The sequence below is a fragment of the Homo sapiens genome, chromosome 8 (assembly GCF_000001405.40).
Source record: "Homo sapiens chromosome 8, GRCh38.p14 Primary Assembly".
NCBI classification, from domain to species: Eukaryota; Metazoa; Chordata; class Mammalia; order Primates; family Hominidae; genus Homo; species Homo sapiens.
In genome coordinates this window covers 46,829,419-46,840,851 of record NC_000008.11, presented here as the reverse complement: position 1 = coordinate 46,840,851, position 11,433 = coordinate 46,829,419, and the positions used below count along the sequence as shown (strand labels likewise).

The 11,433-nt window shown below is 39.1% G+C and overlaps 3 pseudogenes; 1 reads left to right on the top strand and 2 right to left on the bottom strand.

Moving 5' to 3' along the window:
- MTND6P20 (MT-ND6 pseudogene 20) lies at window positions 1,647-2,064 on the bottom strand (annotated as a pseudogene).
- MTCYBP20 (MT-CYB pseudogene 20) lies at window positions 2,146-3,274 on the top strand (annotated as a pseudogene).
- RNU6-656P (RNA, U6 small nuclear 656, pseudogene) lies at window positions 9,696-9,802 on the bottom strand (annotated as a pseudogene).

Sequence of the window (11,433 nt, the reverse complement as noted above, 5' to 3'; positions counted from 1 at the left end):
GCCTAGATATATGTCACAATGTCTGTTCTGTGCAGTACCAAGCCTGGAGAGTGACCTCACATTTGTGCTGAACCCAGCAATATGTCACAATACCCTGTGGTCAGAGCCCAGTCAAAAGCAAAGAAACATCACGTGCTGAGCCAAGTGATATGTTACAATGCTTCCTGTTGGCAGAACCCAAAAAGGAGAATCACATTACCTGTGTGAAGTGCCCAGTTGTGTGTCACAATGCACTGTAAGTGCAGGGCTAAGGCAGTAGAAGGGAGTGACATCACTTATGTGATAGACCTAGATTTAAGACACAATTCTCTTTGTAGGCAGGTTCTAGGCAGATAACTCACATCACCTGGATGATGGTCCCAGTGATATATAAAAGTACCCTTTGTAGGCTAAGCCAAGGAAGGTATTACATATTGCTTAGCTGCTTGTTCCACATATGGCACAATTTCATCTGTGTTCTGGGCCTAGAAAAGACAGTCAAATTATTCATGTGCTGGGCAAAGTTAACTGTCCCAATCACGCTCTCAGAAAGGCTCAGAAATAAGTTTCATATCCCACACAAATCCTGGTTTCCTGTATGTGAGTCAACACTTTCTGTGGTTTGGGTGGAAGTAGAGGAGTCACAATCTCAACAATGGGCAAGATCCATGTATAACTGCCCCAATCCCACTTGAAAATTGTGTTCCAGTAAAGAACTCACAGCACCACAGGTGTGCTGAATCATGGTTCAAATATTACCAATTCACCTGTGAATCAGATCCATGTATAAGAGTAATTATTTCAACTTTTGACTGCTTTTTATGTGTGAGATTTAGTACCTCATTCCTAGGCCCTGTTCATGTGTGAGCACGACAATCATGTCAGCCAGATGTGCATAGAAGAATCATATTCTCACTTAGTTGCTGGTCTCTGTTATGACACTCTTAACCCTTCATGAACTTTATACAAGTGAAAAACTGAGGACTTTACCCATGGCCACGAGACTGGCTATGAGTGTCAATTATTTCTACTTTCTGGATCTAGGTATGAGAGTTATTATTGTGCATGTGTGCTTAACCCAGGTATATGTCACAATTTCACCTGTGAGCAGGGACAAGCCAACAGAGTCACATCACCTGGGTGCTCAGCCAGTGATACAGTATAATCTCATTTGTAGGCTGGGTCTAGCCAGAAGAGTCACATCTCCTGGGTACAACCTCAAAGTATGTCACCAAGCCCACCATAGACAGGGAAGAAGAAGAGGAAAGTCACTCCACCTAGGTGCTGGGCTCTGCAATATGTAGTAATCCTCTCTCTTGGCAGAGTCTAGAATATGAAGGACAGTGACATCATTTAGGTTTTGCTATCAGTGGTATGTCACAATTTCTTTGGTGAGCAGGACCCAGGCAGGAGAGGAGGGTCATATTACCCTAGATGTTAAGTCAAACGATATTACACAATCTCCTCTGGGGGCAGAGGCAGGAGAGACAAATAACCCCCTTATAGGCCCAGATATATGTGATAATATCCCCTGTTGGCAGGGTCCAGGCAGAAGAGTCACATTATTACAATTCTAACTCGGTGATATGTCACAGTGCACCCATGGGAAGAAATTTAAGCCAAAAAGTCTCAACACCTGAGTACTAGGCCTTCATCTCCTGAATGAGGCAGCGACACCTACAGAATCCTCAGGCAATAACCCTGCCCCCTCATGCTAAAAAATAACCCAACTCTCTACGCTATTAAAATCAATCGTGAATACCACATCGTACTCAACTATTCATCGAACCAACATCAACTCTATTAATAATCCTAATAAGAAAGCCCCTCAAATGTCAATACTTTACCCTCATATTTCAGGATATTCCTCAATAGCCATAGCCATAGTATAACCAAAAACAATCATCATGCCCTCCAAATAAATCAAAAAGACTATTAACCCCACGAAACCCACACCAAAATTCAACAGTATATCACAACCCACAGCACCCCTAATAATTAGCCCTAGGGCTCCATAAATAAGAGAAAGTTTCAAAGAAAAACCTAAAAACCCTATAACCAGAGAATACTTAATAAAAATAAAGCATATGCCATTATTCCCACATGAACTATAAAAATGACTAATGATATGAAAAACCATTTTTGTACTACATTTATAAGAACACTAATGACCAATACCTGCAAAACACATCCACTAATACAAATTATTAGCTACTCATTTAATGATCTTCCCACACCACCTAACATTTCCACATGATGAAACTTCGGCTCTCTTCTTGGTGCCTGCCTAATTCTCCAGATCATCACAGGATTATTTTTGGCCATGCACTATACATCAGACACCTCAGCTGCCTTTTCTTCAGTCGCTCATATTGGCCAAGATGTAAACTAAGGCTGAATGGTCTGCTATTTTCATGCCAACGGGGCTTCAATATTTTTCATCTGCCTCTTCTTACATGTTGTTGAGGCTTATACTACGGTTCATTTCCATTCCTAGAAACCTGAAATATTGGCATTATCCTCCTATTCACGACTATAACAACAGCATTCATGGGCTACGTGCTCCCATGAGGCCAAATATCATTCTGAGGCCCTACAGGAATTACAAATCTACTATCAGTCATCTCATATATTGGAACTGACATTGTACAACGAATCTGAGGCAGATTCTCAGTTGACAAAGCCACCCTCACACGATTTTTCACCTTCCATTTCATCTTACCCTTCATCATTATAGTGCTCGCAACTGTTCTTTTATTCTTGCATGAAACAGAATCTAACAACCCTTCAGGGGTTTCATCAGATCCCGACAAAATCACTTTCCACCCCTACTGTACAACCAAAGATATTCTAGGTTTAATTTTTCTTCTCCTCCTTCTAATAACTCTAATACTATTTTTGCCTGATCTCCTGAGCAAACCTGATAATTACCCTTTAGCCAACCCCCTCAATACCCCACCCCACATTAAGCCAGAGTGGTACTTTTTGTTTGCATATGCAATATTGTGATCTATCCCTACAAATTAGGAAGCGCACTGGCCCTCGTATTCTCCATTCTCATTCTAGCAGTATTCCCATATTTCACAAGTCTAAACAACAAAGCATAATATTGCGGCCATTAAGTTAATGCCTATTATGAACCCTAGTGGCTGACCTGCTTACACTCACCTGAATCGGAGGGCAGCCAGTCCAATAATCTTTTATTGCCATCAGACAGACAGTATCTATCATGTACTTCTCTACCATCCTCACCCTTATACTGCTCACTACCCTAATTGAAAATAAATTACTTAAATGAAAATGCTCTTGCAGTATAATTGAATACTCTGGTCTTGTAAACGAGAAATGGAGAATCCCCTCCCCAGGACAACTCAGGGAAAAAGCATTCCCACTTCATCGTCAACAACCAAAGCTGAAATTCTAATTAAACTACTCCTTGAATTTTTTCACAGCACACACTTTAACTACTATGTCAATATTAATCAACTAGCACTAATACATTAGTGGTTTCATGTACTTTGTGCATTACTGTTAGCACCCATGAATTATATAGTACTATAATTGTTTACTTATACATAGTACATTGATACATGAAGATACATTACAAATCCAGTCCATATACATATAAGCATGTATTGACATTCCCTTAATCAACTGTGGTACATCTACTATTATTGACTGTACAATACAAGTCTAATCCATGCGAATATTGACCCGTACTAGATATCCTTAATATTACATAGTGCATACTTCGTTCATTGGACACAGCACATTTCAGTCAAGAAATCCCTTATCAACATGGATATCCCCTACTACATTCTGATCTCTTAATCCACCAACCTCCTTGAAATCATCATCCTGCTTGGGAGTACTAACCTCCTCGCTCTGGGCCCACAACACTTGGGGGTGACTGTTTTGAAACTATACCTGGCATCTGGTTCTTACTTCAGGACCATGAAACTAAAATCGCCCACACATTCCCCTTAAATAAGATATCTCGATGGACTAACGACTACCACCCTATTAACCAGTCACGGCAGCACTGTCACTCACCATCGCGGTGCTATCACTCACCATCGCGGACGCCCTGGTACCTGCCGAATCAGCTGTAGACGAACTCGGATTTGATTCCTGCCAAATCAATCGTAGAAGCTGAGCTTAAATTGAATATTCTGGGCTGGCATAATAACAATAAGTTGTGAATTAATTAATGCTTGAAGGACATAACAATTAATAGACACGTATGCTCACGTACGTATGCTCATGCACGTATGCTCACTTTCAAGAACTATTTCTGATTAAATTTGCAAACTCCTCCTCTCCCATCTCTGACTTTACCATCAACCAAGGTAAATGTACCCTTGCCAAACCCCAAAAACAAGACACTAAAATGCAACCCAGTCAGAGCCCCAAAATAATATTTTAACCATGAATACCCCAACAGCTACCCCTCGATTGATATAATTTTCCTAAAAATCTTAAGATTCCCCCCAAATCAAGCCTCCATTTTATATAATAAATGCAATAACTAAACTTCCACCCTAAAGTAATATAATACCTTGAGCATATTCCTGTAAAAGCGCTACCCCCTATATTGTACCCTAAATCGATTATATTCTAATTATGAGTAATCCTCTCAACCTCTTCCAATTCAACTGTAAAGACCCTGAATTCCAAGAACTGTAAATGGCTATTTATATTTATTTCTTTCCTTCTCATGTTCTAATTTTAGACTTAAGTATTTATACAGTTAATGTAGCTTAATTATTTCAAAGCAAGACACCACTAAAAATGTCTAGATGGGTCTGCACAACACCATGAACAAATAGGTTTGGCCCTGTCCTTTCTTTTTCTTATTTTTAATTTTTTAATTTTTTTATTATTATACTTTAAGTTTTAGGGTACATGTGCACAATGTGCAGGTTTGTTACCTATGTATACATGTGCCATGTTGGTGTGCTGCACCCATTAACTCGTCATTTAGCATTAGCTATATCTCTTAATGCTATCCCTACTCCGTACCCCCACCCCACAACAGTCCCCAGTGTGTGATATTCCCCTTCCTGTGTCCATGTGTTCTCATTGTTCAATTCCCACCTATAAGTGAGAATATGCAGTGTTTGGTTTTTTGTCCTTGCGATAGTTTCCTGAGAATGATGGTTTCCAGCTTCAGCCATGTCCCTACAAAGGACATGAGCTCATCATTTTAAATGGCTGCATAGTATTCCATGGTGTATATGTGCCACATTTTCTTAATCCAGTCTATCATTGTTGGACATTTGGGTTGGTTCCAAGTCTTTGCTATTGTGAATGGTGCTGCAATAAACATACATGTGCATGTGTCTTTATAGCAGCATGATTTATAATCCTTTGGGTATATACCCAGTAATGGGATGGCTGGGTCAAATGGTATTATCTAGTTCTAGATCCCTGAGGAATCGTCACACTGACTTTCACAATGGTTGAACTAGTTTACAGTCCCACCAACAGTGTAAAAGTGTTCCTATTTCTCCACATCCTTTCCAGCACCTGTTGTTTCCTGACTTTTGAATGATCGCCATTCTAATTGGTGTGAGATGGCATCTCATTGTGGTTTTGATTTGCATTTCTCTGATGGCCAGTGATGGTGAGCATTTTTTATGTGTTTTTTGGCTGCATAAATGTCTTCTTTTGAGAAGTGTCTGTTCATATCCTTTGCCCACTTTTTGATGGGGTTGTTTGTATTTTTATTGTAAATTTGTTTGAGTTCATTGTAGATTCTGGATATTAGCCCTTTGTCAGATGAGTAGGTTGCAAAAATTTTCTCCCATTCTGTAGGTTGCCTGCTCACTCTGATGGTGGTTTCTTGTGCTGTGCAGAAGCTCTTTAGTTTAATTAGATCCCATTTGTCAATTTTGGCTTTTGTTGCCATTGCTTTTGGTGTTTTAGTCATGAAGTCCTTGCCCATGCCTATGTCCTGAATGGTAATGCCTAGGTTTTCTTCTAGGGTTTTTATGGTTTTAGGTCTAACATTTAAGTCTTTAATCCATCTTGAATTAATTTTTGTATAAGGTGCAAGGAAGGGATCCACTTTCAGCTTTCTATGTATGGGTAGCCAGTTCTCCCAGCACCATTTATTAAATAGGGAATCCTTTCCCCATTGCTTGTTTTTCTCAGGTTTGTCAAAGATCAGATAGTTGTAGATATGTGGTGTTATTTCTGAGGTCTCTGTTCTGTTCCATTGGTCTATATCTCTGTTTTGGTACCAGTACCATGCTGTTTTGGTTACTGTAGCCTTGTAGTATCATTTGAAGTCAGGTAGCGTGATGCCTCCAGCTTTGTACTTTTGGCATAGGATTGACTTGGCAATGTGGGCTCTTTTTTGGTTCCATATAAACTTTCAAGTAGTTTTTTCCAATTCTGTGAAGAAAGTCATTGGTAGCTTGATGGGGATGGCATTGAATCTATAAATTACCTTGGGCTGTATGGCCATTTTCATGATATTGATTCTTCCTACCCATGAGCATGGAATGTTCTTCCATTTGTTTGTATCCTCTTGTATTTCATTGAGCAGTGGTTTTTAGTTCTCCTTGAAGATGTCCTTCACATCCCTTGTAAGTTGCATTCCTAGGTATTTTATTCTCTTTGAAGCAATTGTGAATGGGAGTTCACTCACGATTTGGCTCTCTGTTTGTCTGTTATTGGTGTATAAGAATGCTTGTGATTTTTGCACATTGATTTTGTATCCTGAGACTGCTGAAATTGCTTATCAGCTTAAGGAGATTTTGGGCTGAGATGATGGGGTTTTCTAGATATACAATCATGTCATCTGCAAACAGGGACAATTTGACTTCCTCTTTTCCTAAGTGAATGCCCTTTATTTCCTTCTCCTGCCTGATTTCCCTGGCCAGAACTTCCAGCACTATGTTGAATAGGAGTGGTGAGAGAGGGCATCCCTGTCTTCTGCCAGTTTTCAAAGGGAATGCTTCCAGTTTTTGCCCATTCAGTATGATATTGGCTGTGGGTTTGTCACAGATAGCTCTTATTATTTTGTGATACGTCCCATCAATACCTAACTTATTGAGAGTTTTTAGCATGAAGCGTTGTTGAATTTTGTCATAGGCCTTTTCTGCATCTATTGAGATAATCATGGGGTTTTTGTCTTTGGTTCCGTTTATATGCTGGATTATGTTTATTGATTTGTGTGTGTTGAACCAGCCTTGCATCCCAGGGATGAAGCCCACTTGATCATGGTGGATAGGCTTTTTGATGTGTTGCTGGATTTGGTCTGCCAGTATTTTATTGAGGATTTTTGCATCAATGTTCATCAAGGATATTGGTCTAAAATTGTCTTTTTTTATTGTGTCTCTGCCAGGCTTTGGTATCAGGATGATGCTGGCCTCATAAAATGAGTTAGGTAGGATTCCCTCTTTTTCTATTGATTGGAATAGTTTTGGAAAAATGGTGCCAGCTCCTCCTTATACCTCTGGTAGAATTTGGTTGTGAATGCATCTGGTCCTGGACTTTTTTTGGTTGGTAAGCTATTAATTATTGCCTCAATTTCAGAGCCTGTTATTGGTATTTTCAGAGATTCAACTTCTTCCTGGTTTAGTCTTGGGAGAGTGTATGTGTCGAGGAATTTATTCATTTCTTCTAGATTTTCTAGTTTATTTGCATAGAGATGTTTATAGTATTCTCTCATGGTAGTTTGTATTTCTATGCGATCAGTGGTGATATCTCCTTTGTCATTTTTTATTGCATCTATTGGATTCTTCTCTCTTTTCTTCTTTATTAGTCTTGCTAAGTGTCTTTCAATTTTGTTGATCTTTTCAAAAAACCAGCTCCTGGATTCATTGATTTTTTGAAGGGTTTTTTGTGTTTCTAATTCCTTCAGTTCTACTCTGATCTTAGTTATTTCTTGCCTTCTGCTAGCTTTTGAATGTGTTTGCTCTTGCTTCTCTAGTTCTTTTAATTGTGATATTAGGGTGTCAATTTTAGATCTTTCCTGCTTTCTCTTGTGGGCATTTAGTTCTATAAATTTCCCTCTACACACTGCTTTGAATGTGTCCCAGAGATTCTGGTATGTTGTGTCTTTGTTCTCATTGGTTTCAAAGAACATCTTTATTTCTGCCTTCATTTCATTATTTACCCAGTAGTCATTCAGGAGCAGGTTGTTCAATTTCCATTTAGTTGAGCGGTTTTGAGTGAGTTCTTTAATCCTGAGTTCTAGTTTGATTGCACTGTGTTCTGAGAGAGAGTTTGTCATAATTTGTGTTCTTTTAAATTTGCTGAGGAGTGCTTTACTTCCAACTATGTGGTCAATTTTGGAATAGGTGTGGTGTTGTGCTGAAAAGAATGTATATTCTGTTGATTTGGGGTGGAGAGTCCTGTAGATGTCTATTAGGTCCACTTGGTGCAGAGCTGAATTCAATTCCTGGATATCCTTGTTAACTTTCTGTCTCATTGATCTGTCTATTGTTGACAGTGGGGTGTTAAAGTCTCCCATTATTGTTGTGTGGGAGTCTAAGTCACTTTGTATGTCACTAAGGACTTGCTTTATGAATCTGGGTGCTCCTGTGTTGGGTGCATATATATTTAAGATAGTTCTTCTTGTTGAATTGATCCCTTTACCTTTATGTCATGGCCTTCTTTGTCTCTTTTGATCTTTGTTGGTTTAAAGTCTGTTTTGTCTGAGACTAGGATTGAAACCCATGCCTTTTTTTGTTTTCCATTTGCTTGGTAGATCTTCCTCCATCCCTTTATTTTGAGCCTATGTGTGTCTCTGCATGTGAGATGGGTTTCCTGAAAACAGCACACTAATGGGTCTTGACTCTTTATCCAATTTGCCAGTCTGTGTCTTTTAATTGGAGCATGTAACCCATTTACATTTAAGGTTATTATGGTTATGTGTGAATTTGATCCCGTCATTATGATGTTACCTGGTTATTTTGCTCATTAGTTGATGCAGTTTCTTCCTAGCCTCAATGGTCTTTACAATTTGGCATGTTTTTGCAGTGGCTGGTACTGTTTGTTCCTTTCCATGTTTAGTGCTTCCTTCAGGAGCTCTTTTAGGGCAGGCCTGGTGTTGACAAAATCTTTCAGCATTTGCTTTACTGTGAAGTATTTTATTTCTCCTTCACTTATGAAGCTTAGTTTGGCTGGATATGAAATTCTGGGTTGAAAATTCTTTTCTTTAAGAATGTTGAATATTGGCCCTCACTCTCTTCTGGATCATAGAGTTTGTGCCAAAATACCAGGAGTTAGTCTTTTGGGCTTCCCTTTGTGGGTAACCCGACCTTTCTCTCTGGCTGCCCTTAACATTTTTTCCTTCATTTCATCTTTGGTGAATCTGACAATTATGTGTCTTGGAGTTCCTCTTCTCAAGGAGTATCTTTGTGGTGTTCTCTGTATTTCCTGAATTTGAGTGTTGGCCTGCCTTGCTAGATTGGGGAAGTTCTCCTGAATAATATCCTGCAGAGTGTTTTCCAACTTGGTTCCATTCTCCCCGTCACTTTCAGGTACACCAATTAGATGTAGACTTGGTGTTTTCACATAGTCCCATATTTCTTGGAGACTTTGTTCGTTTCTTTTTATTCTTTTTTCTCTAAACTTCTCTTCATGCTTCATTTCATTCATTTGATCTTCCATCACTGATACCTTTCTTCTGGTTGATCGCATCAGTTACTGAGGCTTGTGCATTCATGACGTAGTTCTCGTGCCGTGGTTTTCAGCTACATGAAAATATGGAGCACTTCACGAATTTGCGTGTCATCCTTGCTCAGGGGCCATGCTAATCTTCTCTGTATGTTTCCAGTTTTAGCATATGTGCTGCCGAAGTGAGCATGGTCCTGGCCTTTCTATTAGCTCTTAGTAAGATTACACATGCAAGCATCCCCACCCCAGTGAAAATGCCTTTTAGATCACCCGGAACAAAAGGAGCAAGTATCAAGCATGCACAAATGCAGCTCAAAACACTTTACTCAACCACACCCCCATGGGAAAAAGCACTGATAAATATTTAGTAATAAGTGAGACTTTAATCTATAGTGATATCTAGCATTGGTCAATTTCATGCCAGCCACCGCAGCCATACGATTAACCCAAGCTAATTGAACTTGGTGAAAACAGTGCTTAAGGTCTGCCCTCAATAAAGCTAAACTCCGTCTAAGTTGTAAAAAACTCCAGCTGAAATAAAATATACTATGAATGTGCCTTTAATATCCTGAAGATGCAACAGCTAAGACCCAAACTGGGATTAGATACCCCACTATGCTTACCCCTAAACTCTAATAGTTACATTTAAAAAAAAATTTGCCAGAATACTACCAGCAACAGCTAAAAACTCAAAGGATTTGATGCTGCTTATATCCCTCTAGAGGATCCTGTTCTATAATTAATAAACCCCAATATACCTCACCACCTCTTGCCCAGCCTATATACCACCATCTTCAGCAAACCCTAAAGTGGTTATAGAGTAAGCACAAGTGTACACATAAAAACGTTAGGTCAAGGTGTAGCTCATGAGGTGGCAAGAAGTAGACTACATTTTGTATACCCAGAAAATCTCACAACAACCTTTATGAAATCGAAGGGCTCAAGGAGGATTTAGCAGTAAACCAAGATCAGAGTGCTTGGTTGAATAAAGCCATGAAGCATGCACACCCCTCCCATCACTCTCCTCAAATATTATTCTAGAAATTACTAAAAACTCTCTATGCACATATAGAGGAGATAGGTTGTAACATGGTAAACATACTGGAAAGTGTGCTTGGATAAACCAAAGTACAGCTTAACTTAAAGCATCTGGCTTACATCCAGAAGATTTTGTCACGACCTGATCACTTTGAGCCAACTCTAAACCCAAACTTCACTAAAAATATTATCAAACCATCTTAAACCAACCATTTACCTTAGAAAAAGCTATAGGTGATAGAAATTTTCACCCTGGCATAATAGACATAATACCCTAAGGGAAAGATGAAAGAACTGAATACAGCATTAAAAAGCAAAGACAAACCCTTATACCTTCTGCATAATGTATTAACCAGAAATAACTTTACACAGAGAACCATAACCAAGTCCCCCAAAACCAGACGAGCTACTCAGTAACAGCTAAAACAGCACACCCATCTATGTAGCAAAATAGTGGGAAGATTCATGAGTAGTGGTGACAAGCCTACCAAGCCTGGTAACAGCTGATTGTTTTCAACTTTAAACTTACCCACAGACTTACTTAATCTCCCTGTAACTTTAAGTGTTAGTCTAAAGAGGGACAGCTCTTTAGACATTAGGAAACAACTGTCCTACAGGGAATAAAAAATATCACCACCATAGTTGGCATATATGGCCCAAAAGCAGCCACCAATTAAGAAAGCGTTCAAGCTCAACATCTAATTATCTAAAATTCTAATCATCCTACTGAACTCCTAACATCACATTGGACTAATCTATTACTTAATAGAACCAGTAATGTTA